The sequence below is a fragment of the Homo sapiens genome, chromosome 5 (assembly GCF_000001405.40).
Source record: "Homo sapiens chromosome 5, GRCh38.p14 Primary Assembly".
NCBI lineage: Eukaryota > Metazoa > Chordata > Mammalia > Primates > Hominidae > Homo > Homo sapiens.
In genome coordinates, this window is record NC_000005.10 from 142,979,092 (window position 1) to 142,997,509 (window position 18,418).

The 18,418-nt window shown below is 41.7% G+C and overlaps 1 protein-coding gene across 39 annotated transcripts in view, besides 2 other annotated features; it reads left to right on the top strand.

Moving 5' to 3' along the window:
* The window catches only part of ARHGAP26 (Rho GTPase activating protein 26), a 458,635-nt gene that overhangs the window by 208,715 nt on the left and 231,502 nt on the right, over nucleotides 1-18,418 (top strand). The gene's annotated exons all lie outside the window — the stretch shown is intronic.
* Nucleotides 2,757-3,599: an enhancer, noted in NCBI's record as "OCT4-NANOG-H3K27ac-H3K4me1 hESC enhancer chr5:142361413-142362255 (GRCh37/hg19 assembly coordinates)". NCBI's record gives its function as "activates a minimal SCP1, AML or CMV promoter by ChIP-STARR-seq in naive H9 embryonic stem cells {active_cell/tissue: H9 hESC(naive)}" and the evidence as "EXISTENCE:reporter gene assay evidence [ECO:0000049][PMID:30033119]".
* Nucleotides 3,600-4,441: an enhancer, noted in NCBI's record as "OCT4-NANOG-H3K27ac-H3K4me1 hESC enhancer chr5:142362256-142363097 (GRCh37/hg19 assembly coordinates)". NCBI's record gives its function as "activates a minimal SCP1, AML or CMV promoter by ChIP-STARR-seq in naive H9 embryonic stem cells {active_cell/tissue: H9 hESC(naive)}" and the evidence as "EXISTENCE:reporter gene assay evidence [ECO:0000049][PMID:30033119]".

Here is an 18,418-nt window from a genome sequence, read left to right on the forward strand (position 1 = left end):
AATGTGGGCTGCCTATCAGATGATATCAAGGAATTATTAATTTTGCTAGGTTTGATAATACCATGGTGAAGATGAAAAAAACGTTATTAGCTTAAAGAAGATAGGAATTTGTAGGAGAGAAGTTTGTCTTTTTAATGTTTCTACTTTCTGCCTCCTTAATAAATAACAGTGTTACCTTGGCAGTTTCATCTGGGCGTTGTTTCTCTCCTCTCTATATCATCCCCCAAGTCTACTGAATTTTGAGGTCCCAGCTGGTGTCAGAGTTTTGCTCTGCAATTGCTTTTTTCTGGCTCAGTCTGTGTGTCCAGTTGGAGTGAGTCTGCTCAGAAAGTGGATTCTTCCACCTTGGGAACCCTGTGCATCCAGAGACTATGGGACATATTCCTTTTGACTCAATGTTTCACTTGGGATCTGGCAAACATAGACGTATCTCTTGAGGGCTAGGAGTGCCACTGATGGGGCCACATTATCAATCCCTGCAGAAGAAAACAGCAGGAACAGGCTGATGGCTTGTGAAATATTTTTCAAATTTCTTCCATACACAATCAAGGAAAAAGGAAAATGCAGAAGTGGAGGCCCCAGCTTCTGTTCTGGCTGTATTGTTTGCCTTCCAGGCAAAGAGAGTATTTGTGTGAGAATTAAGGGAAAGTGTCTCACTGTGAGCCCAATCCCAGAAGGTAATTCCATATGAAGTTTATTCTCTGCAGGCACTGTTGTGGGCGTGCCAGAGGGGAGGGCGGAGTATGGGAGGTGGGCAGACAGCACTTCCTGCCTACTATAAATCCCTGGCCAGCAGCTGGAAACTCCGGAGTGAGGCCTTCAGAGAGGAATGTCACCTGGAGTGGATAATGCTTGTTGTCACTTTCAAGCCAAATTTATAAATATGTGATCACCAACCAGATCAAGATGTAGAACATTTCCAGCATCCCAGAAGGCTCCCTAGTGCACTCAGTCAATACCTTCCTCGCTCCCCTTCTCCCTCCAGGTAACCACTCTTCTGACTTATATTGCCATTGATTAGTTTCCCTGTTCTTGGTGCTTCATGTAAATGGAAACATATACCATCTACTCTTTGTGTGTGGCTCCTTTTATGCAGTATAATACCTGTGAGACTCATCCATGTTTCCATGTAGCAGTAGTTTGTTCTGATTGTTGTAGAAAGCATTTCGTTGTACAGAACATATCACTAATTATTCATTCTTCGATTGAACAATGGATTGTTTGTAAATTTGAGCTATTGTGCATAAAGCCTCTAGGAACCTTTATTTTATTTTATTTTATTTTATTTTATTTTATTTTATTTTATTTTATTTTTGAGATGGAATCTTGCTTAGTTGCCCAGGCTGGAGTGCGGTGGTGCGATCTAGGCTCACTGCAACCTCCGTTTCCTGGGTTTAAGCAATTCTCCTACCTCAGCCTCCTGAGTGGCTGGGATTACAGGTGCCCACCACCACACCCAGCTGATTTTTGCATTTTTAGTAAAGATGGGGTTTCACCATGTTGGCCAGGCTGGTCTCGAACTCCTGACCTCAGGCAATCTGCCTGCCTTGGCCTCCCAAAGTGCTGGGATTACAGGTGTGAGCCACCTCACCCTGTCTGGAATGTTCTTCTACAGGTGTTTTGAGGCCATAAGTACTTATCTCTTGAGTATATTCCTGGGAGTGGGATTGTTGGATCATAAGGGACACAAATCTTTACCTTAGTAAATATTGCCACATAGTCTTGCAAAGAGGTTGTACCCATTTTCATACCCACCAGCAATGTGTGAGGGTTTCAATTGTTCCATGCCCTCACCTATGCTTGGAATTATCCATCTTTTTAGTTGTAACCATTCTAGGGCATGTGTGTATCGTAGTAGTAGTTGTCATTGTCGTTGTAGTGTCACACTTGGTGTTTATTTTCATTTCCTGGGTGAGTAATGATGTTTGGATATCTTTTGAGAAATACCAGTACCATCTTTTGGCCATGTTTTCATTGCAAATGTATCCTTTTTATAAAGGTGATTATGAACATCAAAAGTCATCATGGAAAGAAAAATGCAGATAGAGAGGCTGCATGTGGCAGCAGTATCAGCTGGTTAGTGATAAAGAACATAGGCTTTGCTGCCCGACAGCAGGAGTTCAAGTCCCAACCTTGCTACCCACTAGTATGGTATTAATTCACTTTCTAATCTTATTTCCTAAACCGTAAAATGGGGATAATAACAGTGTCTATCTCACCAGTGTGCTGGGAGGATTCAATGAGACATGCATCCTTAAAATACCTCTCTGTGAAGCAACTTGGGCCACATGAACAGAGCATTAACAACACACAAACACAAAATGTAGTCTAAATGCCCTGGTGGTCTTTCTTGAGCCATGCAGGCACCTTCCTCTGCCTCCCTATATTCAGAAGTGATAAGGCCATGAGCTACCCTCATGATTTGGTTTCCTAAATCTGTAAAGTCTGCTTTATTAGCTAGGGTGCAAGTTAGTATTTGGAACGTTTTTTGAAGCCATGAGTGTGCTCTTGATAGTCATTATTATTATAAGCAGCAGCTTGGCTCCTTTCCTGCAGAGCAGAATTATCTTCAATCAAATGACCTTTCTGTATACTTTCTACTTTAAAGGATTAATTGCGTCTTCCTTCCTGTCTCCCTCTTCACTTCTCCAGAACGCTCAGCCCAAAACCAAACTGGAGTTGCCTTTGTCCCTAAGTGGTGTCGTGGTACCACCACACCCAAAGCCTGGCTCAGAATGAATTCAGCACCCATTCCTTGCTTTTTAAACCTCAAAAGTTCCCGACTCAGTGAAAGGCTTCCATTTTGCTATCCTCTTCTCTGTCTGCATTTTACTCTGTAATTTATTGACATAGAAGAGGCCTCGTGCAGGCTTTCATTGCATTAGTCCACTTGGAAGTCTTTTCTCCAATCCATTTGACCTCAAGCTGCTTTTTTGCTGCTGCTGCATGTAAGCTAGACTGATCCAGCTCACCTTATGCTGCTTTTGAAGGCTGAAAAGCCCTGTGACCAAATGTTTAGCAGGCTGTTCAGACAGTGGACTGATGGTTTGATCTAAGTCCGTTTCCTGCCTTACACACACCTCCCCATCCCCCAAGGCAAAGGTGGAAAACCCAGCAAGTTACATAAGTTGTTGGAGCAGTCCAGATGGCTGGCTGCTAGCCCAGGCAAACTCGCTTTGGAGCACTTGGGGATGCCTGCACTGGCAATGAAACATGGGCTCATTTTTTAATGAGAACAATCATTTTGTTCAGCTGTATGAATCCCAGTAGTGGAGTGAGATCAGGGCTGTGATCCCCTAAACATGGCTGCTGGCTTCCCTCTGGGGCAGGACAGGGGGTGTCTTGTAGTGGGAGGGTGTCTTGTCCTACTGTTTGGACTTTACTAAACAGGAAGGAGCGGGCAGGGCTGCAGAACAGGAATTATACCATTGTACAGCCTGGCAGTCCTGTGGAATTGGCTGAATAGCGGAAGGAAGGAATCTGAAAAGGAAGGGAAGGATCTCACCACCCAGTGTGAGCCAATTCCAGCCTCGCTATTTTATCTGCCCAGTGACTGATCTTAGCCTTTTGTTGTATACCTTTCTTCTTGAGAGGTTTTGAAATGGTATGCATTCCTTAGCTTTGAGGCACCATGTGGCTGCAGTTAGTCAGACTAGCTCCAAATCACAAGCTTGGATTGTTGAACCTGTTTTTTCTGGAGTGGGAGGAAGATGGACCAGAAATTGATGTGAGGCCCTGGGATCTTCAGTCCAGGTGGCCATGGGTATGGCTTACAGGATGGTCATCTCTAGGTCTGACTTTCCCTGTGTGTTGTCCTGATGTGACCAGGAAGCAGCTGTCCAAGTTGCCTGTCCACCTCTGATAGCACATGCAGCCTTGCATCTGGGGTTGGTGGTTATTTCGTGCAGGTGACCTGAGAGCTGCCTGGGATTGCTGTGCTTGCCCAGCCCGCCACAAGGGGTTGCCCTTTGTTGGCTGGTGGTGTGGAGGAGGACAGGTCCCCTGACTGCCGGCTACTCCAGTGCATCTGAAATGGAGACACCTGTATGTCTGTGATCTCTGAGCCTTATCTTCCCTTGCTACCCCACGGTGAATTAGACCTAAAGATGCTATGCTGGTTCGTTGTTTTTTTTTGAGATGGAGTCTCACTCTGTCACCTGACTGGAGTACAGTGGCGCAATCTCTGCTCATTGCAACCTCCACCTCCCGGGTTCAAGCGACCCTCCTGCCTCAGCCTTGTGAGTATCTGGAACTACAGGCATGTGCCACCACACCTGGCTAATTTTGTATTACTAGTAGAGACAGGTTTACACCATGTTGGCCAGGCTGGTCTTGAACTCCTGACCTCAAGTGATCTGCCCTCCTCGGCCTCTCAAAGTGCTGGGATTACAGGCGTGAGCCTCCACGACCAGCCTGGTCCTTTGTTTCTATTGTTTTCAAAATGGTCTGAGAAATAGGAAAAATCCCAAAGTCTATAGAACATAGATATAAAGGTACAGAAAAGAGAATGCAGATTTTCACGCATTTTTACATCGAAAAAATAAACTATATTTTTTGACTGAAAGAATAACATAGAGTAACAAACAGTAGAAAATGTGGAAAATAACTAAAAAGATGAAGAGGAAAATGAATATCACTCATCTTAGAAAACAGTGGTTAATTTATGATATTTGTGTTTTCAACTCTTTTCTATCATTATGTGTTTATATATATCTAGACACACATCTATTCATATATAAACAAAACATGCATCCCTTTCCAGGTATTGTACTTTAAGTAGGATTTTCATTTAATTTTTTATATTTTCTCATGTCTGTCAGTTTAGCAGTGAGTTTTGCTGCAAACAATTGAAAATCCAACAAACAATGGCTTAAAGTAAGTTTTAGGCATTAATATATATGATAGGCCACATGGGACAAATAGGGTGGCTCTGTGAAGCCATTAAAGACCCAGCTTCATTGTGTCTTTTTACTCCTCCTTAGAGTGAGGAGGATCCTTTAGGATGTAGGCTTTTGTCTTCCTTGTAGGCTGCTGCACCTCCTGGCCTCACATCTGTGGTTCAGGCAGGGAGAAGGAAGGCAGGAAGAGGAAGGAGTGGTGTCTATGTCAGCAAAACAAAGGTTTGCCAGAAATCGCCTGTATATATCCACTTATGTCTCATTGACCAGAACTGTGTCATATTCCTAAGAGGAGTGTGTGTTTTCAGCTGGGTAAAATCTTGCTCCCACATATCAAGGGTCTGATTAAGGAAGAAAAGGAAACAGACATTGTACAGTCCATTAGCAGTAGCTGTCACACTTGTTTCTAAATACTATTCTACAACCAGAAGTGTTGAGTGACTTAGAAACTCCTTTGATGAAAGAAGAAATAATATTAAGAAAATTGTGAACACTTTCCTCAGAGAAGTATATAATTTGTAACATTTTGTATATAAGAAACAGATCTGTGCATTCATCTCTCAGTGGGCTGCTATACATGATTCTTTTCTTAGCGTAATGCATAGAAGTAGATTTGCTTGATGAACATATACAGTCACACACCATATAAAGATGTTTCAGTCAATGACAGACCACACATACCACTGTGGTCCCATAAGATTATAATGGAGCTAAAAAATTCCTATCTCTTAGTGCTGTTGTAGCCGTCATATTACTGCAACACATCATTCATGTGTTTGTGGTGATGCTGGTGTAAACAAACCTACCATGCTCTCAGTCATACAAAAGTAGAGCACATGCAATACTTGATAATAAATGACTGTGTTACTAGTTTATGTATTTACTACAGTCTGCTTTTTATTGTTATTTTAAAGTGTACCCCTTCTACTTATTAAAAAAAAAAGCGGTCAGACAGCCTTAAACAAGACCTTCAGGCGGTATTCCAGAAGAATGCATTGTTATCATAGACGACAGCTCTATGTGTGTTACTGCTCCTGAAGACCTTACAGTGGGACAAGATGTGGAGGTGGAAGACAGTGATGTGGATGATCCTGACCCTGTGTAGGCCTAGGCTAATGTTTGTGTTTGCGTCTTGGTTTTTTAACAAAAATAGCTTAAAAAGGAAAATAATAATAATAAATACAAAAAAAACTTGTTGAATAAGGAAAAAATACTTTTGTACAGCTGTACAATGTGTTTGTGTTTTAAGCTAAATGTTATTACAAGAATCAAAAAGTTAAAAAAAATTAAAAAGGTTGTAAAGTTACAGTAAACTAAGGTTAATTTATTATTGAAGAAGAACACTTTAAATAACTTTAGTGTAGCCTAAGTGTACAGTGTTTATAAAGTCTACAGTATTGTGCAGTAATATCTTAGGCCTTCATGTTCACCCACTAATCACTCATTGACTCTCCCAGAGCAACTTCCAGTCCTGTAAGCTCCATTCATGGTAAGCACTTTATACAGGAATACCACTTTTTATCTTTTTTTTTTTAATTTAAGTTCTAGGGTACATGTGCACAACGTGCAGGTTTGTTACATATGTATACATGTGCCATGTTGGTGTGCTGCACCCATTAACTTGTCATTTACATTAGGTATATCTCCTAATGCTATCCCTCCCCCCTCCCCCCCACCCTACAACAGGCCCTGGTGTGTGATGTTCCTCACCCTGTGTCCAAGTGTTCTCATTGTTCAATTCCCACCTATGAGTGAGAACATGCAGTGTTTGGTTTTCTGTCCTTGCGATAGTTTGCTGAGAATGATTGTTTCCAGCTTCATCCATGTCCCTACAAAGGACACCAACTCATCCTTTTTTATGGCTGCATAGTATTCCATGGTGTATATGTGCCACATTTTTTAAATCCAGTCTATCATTGATGGGCATTTGGGTTGGTTCCAAGTCTTTGTTATTGTGAATAGTGCCGCAATAAACATACGTGTGTATGTGTTTTTATAGCAGCATGATTTATAATTCCTTTGGTATATACCCAGTAATGGGATGGCTGGGTCAAATGGTATTTCTAGTTCTAGATCCTTGAGGAATTGCCACACTGTCTTCCACAATAGTTGAACTAGTTTACAGTCCCACCAACAGCGTAAAAGTGTTCCTATTTCTCCACATCCTCTGCAGCACCTGTTGTTTCCTGACTTTTTAATGATCGCCATTCTAACTGGTGTGAGATGGTATCTCATTGTGGTTTTGATTTGCATTTCTCTGATGGCCAGTGATGATGAGCATTTTTTCATGTGTCTGTTGGCTGCATAAATGTCTTCTTTTGAGAAGTGTCTGTTCATATTCTTTGCCCACTTTTTGATGGGGTTGTTTGATTTTTTTCTTGTAAATTTGTTTAAGTTCTTTGTAGATTCTGGATATTAGCCCTTTGTCAGATGGGTAGATTGTAAAAGTTCTCTCCCATTCTGTAGGTTGCCTGCTCACTCTTATGATAGTTCTCTTTTGCTGTGCAGAAGCTCTTTAATTAGATCCCATTTGTCAATTTTGGCTTTTGTTGCTATTGCTTTTGGTGTTTTAGTCATGAAATCCTTGCCCATGCCTATGTCCTGAATGGTATTGGCTAGGTTTTCTTCTAGGGTTTTTATGGATTTAGGTCCAACATTTAAGTCTTTAATCCATCTTGAATTAATGTTTGTATAAGGTGTAAGGAAGGGATCCAGTTTCAGCTTTCTATATATGGCTAGCCAGTTTTCCCAGCACCATTTATTAAATAGGGAATCCTTTCCCCATTGCTTGTTTTTCTCAGGTTTGTCAAAGATCAGATGGTTGTAGATGTGTGGTATTATTTCTGAGGGCTCTGTTCTGTTCAATTGGTCTGTATCTCTGTTTTGGTACCAGTACCATGCTGTTTGGTTACTGTAGCTTTGTGGTATAGTTTGAAATCAGGTAGTGTGATGCCTCAAGCTTTGTTCTTTTGGCTTAGGATTGTTTTGGCAATGCGGCTCTTTTTTGGTTCCATATGAACTTTAGGGTAGTTTTTTCCAATTCTGTGAAGAAAGTCATTGGTGGGGATGGCATTGAATCTGTAAATTACCTTGGGCGGTATGGCCATTTTCACGATATTGATTCTTCCTATCCATGAGCATAGAATGTTCTTCCATTTGTTTGTGTCCTCTTTTATTTCGTTGAGCAGTGGTTTGTAGTTCTCCTTGAAGAGGTCCTTCACGTCCCTTGTAAGTTGGATTCCTAGGTATTTTATTCTCTTTGAAGCAATTGTGAATGGGAGTTCACTCATGATTTGGCTCTCTGTTTGCCTGTTATTGGTGTATAGGAATGCTTGTGATTTTTGCACATTGATTTTGTATCCTGAGACTTTGCTGAAGTTGCTTATCAGCTTAAGGAGATTTTGGGCTGAGAGGATGGGGTTTTCTAAATATACAATCATGTCATCTGCAAACAGGGACAATTTGACTTCCTCTTTTCCTAATTCAATACCTTTTATTTCTTTCTCCTGCCTGATTGCCCTGGCCAGAACTTCCAACACTATGTTGAATAGGAGTGGTGAGAGAGGGCATCCCTGTCTTGTGCCAGTTTTCAAAGGGAATGCTTCCAGTTTTTGCCCATTCAGTATGATATTGGCTGTGGGTTTGTCATAAATAGCTCTTATTATTTTGAGATATGTCCCATCAATACCTAGTTTATTGAGAGTTTTTAGCATGAAGAGCTGTTGAATTTTGTCAAAGGCCTTTTCTGTATCTATTGAGATAATCATGTGGTTTTTGTCTTTGGTTCTGTTTATATGCTGGATTACATTTATTGATTTGTGTGTATTGAACCAGCCTTGCATCCCAGGGATGAAGCCCACTTGATCGTGGTAGATAAGCTTTTTGATGTGCTGCTGGATTCGGTTTGCCAGTATTTTATTGAGGATTTTAGCATTGATATTCATCAGGGATATTGGCCTAAAATACTTTTTTGTATGTGTCTCTGCCAGGCTTTGGTATCAGGATGATGCTGGCCTCATAAAATGAGTTAGGGAGGATTCCCTCTTTTTCTATTGATTGGAATGGTTTCAGAAGGAATGGTACCACCTCCTCTTTGTACCTCTGGTAGAATTTGGCTGTGAATCCGTCTGATCCTGGACGTTTTTTGGTTGGTAGGCTATTATTGCCTCAATTTCAGAGCCTGTTATTGGTCTATTCAGGGATTCAACTTCTTCCTGGTTTAGTCTTGGGAGGGTGTATGTGTCGTGGAATTTATCCATTTCTTCTAGATTTTCTAGTTTATTTGCATAGAGGTGTTTATAGTATTCTCTGATGGTAGTTTGTATTTCTGTGGGATTGGTGGTGATATCCCCTTTATCATTTTTTATTGTTTCTAGTTTATTCTTCTCTCTTTTCTTCTTTATTAGTCTTGCTAGTGGTCTATCAAGTTTTTTGATCTTTTCAAAAAACTAGCTGCTGGATTCATTGATTTTTTGAAGGGTTTTTTGTGTCTCTGTCTCCTCCAGTTCTGCTCTGATCTTAGTTATTTCTTGCCTTCTGCTAGCTTTTGAATGTGTTTGCTTTTGCTTCTCTAGTTCTTTTAATTATGATGTTAGGGTGTCAATTTTAGATCTTTCCTTCTTTCTCTTGTGGGCGTTTAGTGCTATAAGTTTCACTCTACACACAGCTTTAAATGTGTCCCAGAGATTCTGGTATGTTGTGTCTTTGTTCTCATTGGTTTCAAAGAACATCTTTATTTCTGCTTTCATTTCGTTATGTACCCAGTAGTCATTCAGGAGCAGGTTGTTCAGTTTCCCTGTAGTTGAGCGGTTTTGAGTGAGTTTCTTAATCCTGAGTTCTAGTTTGATTGCATTGTGGTCTGAGAGACAGTTTGTTATCATTTCTGTTCTTTTACATTTGCTGAGGAGTGCTTTACTTCCAACTATGTGGTTAATTTTGGAATAAGTGTCGTCTGGTGCTGAGAAGAATGTATATTCTGTTGATTTGGGGTGGAGAATTCTGTAAATGTCTTTTAGGTCTGCTTGGTGCAGAGCTGAGTTCAATTCCTGGATATCCTTTTTAACTTTCTGCCTCGTTGATCTGTCTAATGTTGACAGTGGTGTGTTAAATTCTCCCATTATTATTGTGTGGGAGTGTAAGTCTCTTTGTAGGTCTCTAAGGACTTGCTTTATGAATCTGGTTGCTCCTGTATTGGGTGCATATATATTTAGGATAATTAGCTCTTCTTGTTGAATTGATCCCTTTACCATTATGTAATGGCCTTCTTTGTCTCTTTTGATCTTTGTTGGTTTAAAGTCTGTTTTATCAGAGACTAGGATTGCAACTCCTGCTTTTTTTTGTTTTCCATTTGCTTGGTAGATCTTCCTCCATCCCTTTATTTTGAGCCTATGTGATGGGTCTCCTGAATACAGCACACTGATGGGTCTTGACTCTTTATCCAGTTTGCAAGTCTGTGTCTTTTAATTGGAGCATTTAGCCCATTTACATTTAAGGTTAATATTGTTATGCATGAATTTGATCCTATCATGATGATGTTAGCTGGTTATTTTGCTCGTTAGTTGATACAGTTTCTTCCTAGCATCAATGGTCTTTACAATTTGGCATGTTTTTGCAGTGGCTGGTATTGTTGCTTCCTTCAGGAGCTCTTGTAGGGCAGGCCTGGTGGTGACAAAATCTCTCAGCATTTGCTTGTCTGTAAAAGATTTTATTTCTCCTTCACTTATGAAGCTTAGTTTGGCTGGATATGAAATTCTGGGTTGAAAATTCTTTTCTTTAAGAATGTTGAATATTGGCCCCCACTCTTCTGACTTGTAGAGTTTCTGCCGAGAGATCCGCTGTTAGTCTGACGGGCTTCCCTTTGTGGATAACCCGACCTTTCTCTCTGGCTGCCCTTAGCATTTTTTCCTTCATTTCAGCTTTGGTGAATCTGACAATTATGTGTCTTGGAGTCGCTTTTCTCGAGCAGTATCTTTGTGGCTTTCTCTGTATTTCCTGAATTTGAATGTTGGCCTGCCTTTCTAGGTTGGGGAAGTTCTCCTGGATAATATCCTGCAGAGTGTTTTCCAGCTTGGTTCCATTCTCCCCATCACTTTCAGGTACACCAATCAGATGTAGATTTGGTCTTTTCACATAGTCCCACATTTCTTGGAGGATTTGTTCGTTTCTTTTTACTCTTTTTTCTCTAAACTTCTCTTCTCGCTTCATTTCATTCATTTGATCTTCAATCACTGATACCCTTTCTTCCACTTGATCAAATCGGCTACTGAAGCTTGTGATTGCGTCATGTAGTTCTTGTGCCGTGGTTTTCAGCTCCATCCGGTCATTTAAGGTCTTCTCTACACAGTTTATTCTAGTTAGCTATTTGTCTAATCTTTTTTCAAGGTTTTTAGCTTCTTTGTGATGGGTTCGAGCATCCTCCTTTAACTCAGAGAAGTTTATTCTTACCGATCATCTCAAGCCTTCTTCTCTCAACTTGTCAAAGTCATTCTCCGTCTAGCTTTGTTCCACTGCTGGTGAGGAGCTGCATTCCTTGGGAGGAGAAGAGATGCTCTGATTTTTAGAATTTTCAGCTTTTCTGCTCTGGTTTCTCCCCATCTTTGTGGTTTTATCTACTTTTGGTCTTTGATGATGGTGACGTACAGATGGGGTTTTGGTGTGGATGTCCTTTCTGTTTGTTAGTTTTCCTTCTAACAGTTAGGACTCTCAGCTGCAGGTCTGTTGGGGTTCGCTGGAGGTCCACTCCAGACCCTGTTTGCCTGAGTATCACCAGTGGAGGCTGCAGAACAGCAAATATTGCAGAACAGCAAATGTTGCTTCCTGATCCTTCCTCTGGAAGCTTCATCTCAGAGGGGCATCTGGCTGTATCAGTTGTCAGTCGGCCCCTACTGAGTGGTGTCTCCCAGTTAGGCTACTCGGGGGTCAGGGACCCACTTGAGGAGGCAGTCTGTCCATTCTCAGATCTCAAACTCCGTGTTGGGAGAACCACTACTCTCTTCAAAGCTGTCAGATAGGGATGTTTAAGTCTGCAGAAGTTTCTGCTGCCTTTTTTTCAGCTATTCCCTGCCCCCAGAGGTGGAGTCTACAAAGGCAGGCAGGCATCCTTGTGCTGCGGTGGGCTCCACCCAGTTCGAGCTTCCTGGCCGCTTTGTTTACCTACTCAAGCCTCAGCAAAGGTGGATGCCCCTCCCCCAGCCTTGCTGCCGCCTTGCAGTTCGATCTCAGACTGCTGTGCTAGTGGTGAGCAAGGCTCCGTGGGCGTGGGACCCTCTGAGCCATGTGCAGGATATAATCTCCTGGTGTGCCGTTTGCTAAGACCTTTGGAAAAGCGCAGTATTAGGGTGGGAGTGTCTCGATTTTCCAGGTACCATCTGTCACAGCTTCCCTTGGCCAGGAAAGGGAATTCCCTGTCCCCTTGCACTTCCCAGGTAAGGTGATGCCTTGCCCTGCTTAGGCTCACACTCCATGGGCTGCACCCACTGTCCAACAAGCCCCACTGAGATGAACCCACTACCTCAGCTGGAAATGCCGAAATCACCTGTCTTCTGCGTCACTCACACTGGGAGCTGTAGACTGGAGCTGTTCCTATTTGGCCATCTTGGAACCTCCCCCACTTTTTATCTTTATACCATATTTTTACTGTACGTTTTCTATGTTTAGATATGTTTAGATACAGAAATACTATTGTGTGTCAGTTGCCTACAGTATTCAGTATGGTAACATGCTGTATAGGTTTATCTCCTAGGAACAATAGGCTACACCATATAGCCTAGTTGTGTAGTAGGCTATACCATCTAGGTTTGTGTAAGTGCACTCTATGATGTTTGTAGGGCAACAAAATTGCCTAACAACGCATTTCTCAGAACATATCCCTGTCATTAAGTGAGGCATGACTGTATATTTATCTTTGAAGCTTGCTCTTCATGAAGACTGTGCCAATTTATACTTCCATGAGTTGCATATGGGAATATCCATTTCCCTGAGCCTACATCTATACTAGTTGCTACCAAAGTTTAAGAAAATTCTTAACTTTTTCAAAAAGTAAAACATATTATCATTGTTATAATTAGGACTTTTTTTTGTTTTTGAATATTCCCTATGGTTATTGAATTCTTTTTCTCCTTTTGCAATTAGTTTATCCTTTGTACATTTTTTTTCTTTTGGTGTATTCACCTTTGAGTGTTAATTACTCTTTCTGTATTAAGGCTGTGAGATACTTTATGCATCCTATCTTTGTTTGAATGGATTCCCATAATAAGATAAATATTTACCTGAGATTTGTTTTGGCATCAAGATGTAAGGTGAAGACCAACCTTGATTTTATTCCTCCAAATGATTTTTATTATCTTAACACTATTGAATAATTAACTATTTCACAACTGATTCGAAAGGCTCCAAGATGATTTAAGAAGTGCAGCAGTGATTTTTTATTTATTTATTTTATTTTATTTTTTATTTTTTTTTTTGAGAGGGAGTCTTGCCCTGTCACCTAGGCTGGAGTGCAGTGGCGTAATCTCTGCTCACTGCAACCTCCTGGGTTCACGTCATTCTCCCGCCTCAGCCTCCCAAGTAGCTGGGACTACAGGTACCCGCCACCATGCCCGGCTAATTTTTTGTATATTTAGTAGAGAAGGGGTTTCACCATGTTAGCCAGGATGGTCTCGATCTCCTGACCTCGTGATCCGCCTGCCTCGCCTCCCAAAGTGCTAGCATTACAGGCATGAGTCACCACGCCTGGCCAGTAGTGATTTTTTAAAGCACATAGGGTATGCAAAGATCAGCTGCCATACAGAGACCATATGAATTGTCATCCAAGACATTGTTATTTTCATAGCTGACACTGCTGGGTTCTGTGCCTCGCCTGATGCGGACTGCTTAACCTTCTTGGGGTGAGCACAACTGTAAGTGAGCAATTTAATACTTAAAATGCTGCTAGACAGATGGCAATTTACTCTTTCCATATTTGAAGAGCTTCCTGAGTCCTAAGTTCTTTATTTTTATTTTTATTTTTTTTGAGATGGAGTCTCACTCTTTCGCCCAGGCTGGAGTGCAGTGGCGGGATCTCGGCTCACTGCAACCTCCACCTCCCAGGTTCAAGCAATTCTCCTGCCTCAGCTTCCTGAGTAGCTGGGTTACAGGTGCCCACCACCATGCCCGGGTAATTTTTGTGTGGTTTTTTTTTTTTTTTTTTTTTTGAGACGGAGTCTCGCTCTGTCGCCCAGGCCGGACTGCGGACTGCAGTGGCGCAATCTCGGCTCACTGCAAGCTCCGCTTCCCGGGTTCACGCCATTCTCCTGCCTCAGCCTCCCGAGTAGCTGGGACTACAGGCGCCCGCCACCGCGCCCGGCTAATTTTTTGTATTTTTAGTAGAGATGGGGTTTCACCTTGTTAGCCAGGATGGTCTCGATCTCCTGACCTCATGATCCACCTGCCTCGGCCTCCCAAAGTGCTGGGATTGCAGGTGTGAGCCACCACGCCCGGCCCAATTTTTGTGTTTTTAATAAAGATGGGGTTTCACCATGTTGGCCAGGCTGGTCTCGAATTCCTGACCTCAGGTGATCCACCTACCTTGGCTTCCCAAAGTGCTGGGATTATAGGTGTGAGCCACCATGCCCAGCCCTAAATTCATTTTTAATTACAAACTAGATTGTTGATTTTTTTTCTTTTTTTTGAGACAGGGCCTCGCTCTGTCACCCAGACTGGAGTGCCATGGCATCATGATCACAGCACATTGCAGCCCCAACCTCTTGGGGTCAAGCTATCCTACTGCTTCAGCCTTCCTCCTAAGTAGCTAGGACTACAGGTGCATGCCATCATGCCCAGCTAATTTCTTTTTCTTTTCTTTTCTTTTCTTTTCTTTTTTTAAGTAGAGGCTAGGACTCCTTATGTTGCCCAGATCAGTCTCAAATTCCTGGGCGCATGTGATCCTCCCACCTCACTTCCCAAAGTGCTGGGATTATAGGCAAGAGCCACTTTTTGAAGTTAATGTTAACTGAATCTAAGATGTGCATTGACAACATTTTAGATGGCCTTGGTTCCTCATGTCATTCAACCAGTATTTATTAAATGCCTGCTATGTGCAAGGCCCTCTGGTCTACCAGGATAAATTTGTCACCTTGCATTTCAGAGTGAAAAACATCAGTGTGAGGTGTGAACATAGTGCTATTGAAATAGAACAGATGATTTTAGACTGAGGGAGTTGAAGGCAGCTTCATAGAGGAGCACGTATAGGTAGGGCATTGAAGGATGTTCACGGGCAGAGATGCATAGAAGGGCTTCCTTGGCAAGAAATATGGCAACACAGATTCTTAGAAATCATGGGACAGATGAGGAAACAGCTAGTAGTTGCATGTAGATGGTCATGAGGTTTGGGAAGGGAAAGTAGAAAAGTAAGGTAGGAAATGTTGGGGCCAGCTTATCAGAGGCCTCATGTAGAAATCTGGACATTATGCTGTTAAGGGGTGACGCAACCATAAAGGATTTGAGCAGAAGTGATTTCAGAGCTGTGGCCACATGAAGGGTATGCAGTTTTTGGGAAGGCAGAGAGTAACCATTGTGAAGGCATTCCAAGCAGGAGGTGCTGAACTCCCAGATGGGACTGTTGGGACTGAAGAGAAAGATACAATCATGCTGGAAGCAGAATCCAGTTATTGTCACCTGATTAGATATGGGAGTGAAAAGACAGGACTTAGGACAGATCTTAGGTCTAGCCACTGAGATAAAAGTGATGCCATTAACCAAGATAATGATTATTGGCTGCTGTTTACTGAGCATTTACTCTGTGCCATGCATAGTGCCAGCTGCTCTGCTGCTGCTACCTTCTACTTTATGTGGTATGCTCTCCATTTTATAGATGGGGTAATGAGGCACAGAGAAATGTCACAATGAGAAAATAACAGTTGCTAGATGAAAATAGGTTTGACAAAAACAAACAATGGGGGAAGGATTCCCTATTTAATAAATGGTGTTGGGAAAACTGGCTAGCCATATGGAGAAAACTGAAACTTACACCTTATACAAAAATTAACTCCAGATGGATTAAAGACTTAAACGTAAGACCTAAGACAATAAAAACCCTAGAAGAAAACCTAGGCAACACCATTCAGGACATAGGCATGGGCAAAGACTTCATGACTAAAACACCAAAAACAATTGCAACAAAAAGCAAAATTGGCAAATGGGATCTAATTAAACTAAAGAGCTCCTGCACAGCAAAAGAAACTATCACTAGCGTGAACAGGCAACCTACAGAAAGGGAGAAAATGTTTGCAATCTATCCATCTGACAAAGGGCTAATACCTAGAATCTACAAGGAACTTAAACAAATTTACAAGAAAAAAACAACCCCATCAAAAAGTGGATGAAGGATATGGACACTTTTCAAAAGAAGACAAAATTTATGCTGCCAACAAACATATATAAAAAAAGCTCATCATCACTGGTCATTAGAGAAATGCAAATCAAAACCACAGTGAGATACCATCTCATGCCAGTTAGAATGGCAATCATTAAAAAGTCAGGAAATAACAGATGCCGGAAAGGATGTGGAGAAATAGGAACGCTTTTACACTGTTGGTGGGAGTGTAAATTAGTTCAACCGTTGTGGAAGACAGTGTGGTGATTCTTCAAGGATCTAGAACCAGAAATACCATTTGACCCAGCAATCCCATTACTGGGTGTATATCCAAAGGATTACAAATCATTCTACTATAAAGACACATGCACACATATGTTTATTGAGGCACTATTCACAATAACAAAGACTTGGAACCAATCCAAATGCTCATCAATGATAGACTGGATGAAGAAAATATGGCACATATACACCATGGAATACTATGCAGCCATAAAAAAGAATGCATTCATGTCCTTTGTAGGGACATGGTTGAAGCTGGAAACTATCATTCTCAGCAAAGTAACACAGGAACAGAAAACCAAACACTGCATGTTCTCACTTATAAGTTGTGTTCTCACAACTCCCACTCCCATAAGTGGGAGCTGAACAATGAGAACACATGGGCACAGGGAGGGAACATAACATACCGGGGCCTACTGGGGGGTGGGGAGCAAGTGGAGGGATAGCATTAGGAGAAATACCTAATGTAGGTGACGGGTTGACGGGTGCAGCAAACCGACATGGCACATGTATACCTATGTAACAAACCTGCACTTTCTGCACATGTATCCCAGAACTTAAAGTATAATAAAAAATGAAAATAGGTTTGTGGCTGGGTGCAGTGGCTCACACCTGTAATCCCAGCACTTTGAAAGGCCGAGGTGGGCAGATCACCTGTCAGAAGTTTGAGACCAGCCTGATTAACATGGTGAAACTCTGTCTCTACTAAAAATACACAAAAATTAGCTGGGTTTGGTGGCATGTGCCTGTAATCCCAGCTACTTAGGAGGCTGAGGCAGGAGAATTGCTTGAACCTGGGAGGTGGAGGTTGCAGTGAGCCAAGATCACGCCACTGCACTCCAACCTGGGTGACAGAGCAAGACTCTGTCTTGAAAATTAAAAAAAGAAGAAAATAGGTTTTTGTGTGCATATGTGTGTATGTGTTTCTGTTCAATGGCCTTGCTGTCACCTAACTAAAAGCAAGTACTAATTTAGTGGCTTGTTCACAGGTTTTAAGGTGTTACCCCTCCTATTGTCTTGAGAAACCCTTCTTGGTGGTTGTAGGAAGGATAGGTGCTAGATTTGAGGTTAGGGGAAATTCCTAGATGAAGATGGCCAGCAAACAGTTAGAAATGGAGGTCTGCTCCAAAGAAAACTGGAGGGAGGTTGGGGTTGCAGATTTAGAGGTGGGGCACCATCTGCATGGAGGCATTGTTGCAGCTATGGGAATGGATGAAATTTCTAATTGTGGCTTATAGAAAGAGAGAGAGAGAGATGAGTAAAGAGGTCCAAGGAGGAGCTTAGGGAATTTTTAGAGTAGGCTATGGAACTCTCATAATGTACTGCTGGTGGGAGTCTTAATTAGTACAACCATTCAAAACCTAGTAAAGTTGAATATATACATATCCTACAACAGACTGTTGAAACTACTGAACTCTATTGTAGCACAAAAACAGCTATGGACAAGTAAGTGAATGAGCATAGCTGTTTTCCAAAAAACTTTATATATATGCATTTACATATATTCATATATGTATATTGTATGTGCATGTATATATATATACACACACGTATATATCCTCATTATTCATGGATTCCATATTTGTGAATTCATCTACTCACCAAAATTTATTTGTAACCCTAAAGTCAATACTTGCAGAGTTTTCACAATCATTTGTAGGCATGGGTAGAGTGGTGAAACATTTTGATCATCCACTGTGCATGTTCACTGATGGTGTTGCACAGGCCCTACTCTACCTTCTTGTTTCAGCTGTCATACTGTAAACAAATATCATTTTCCTTTTTCTTTTCTTGAGGGGTTGGTGGGGACAGGGTTTTGCTCTGTCACCCAGGCTGGAGGGCAGTGGCTCCATCATAGCTCATTGCAGCCTCGATCCCTTGGGCTCAA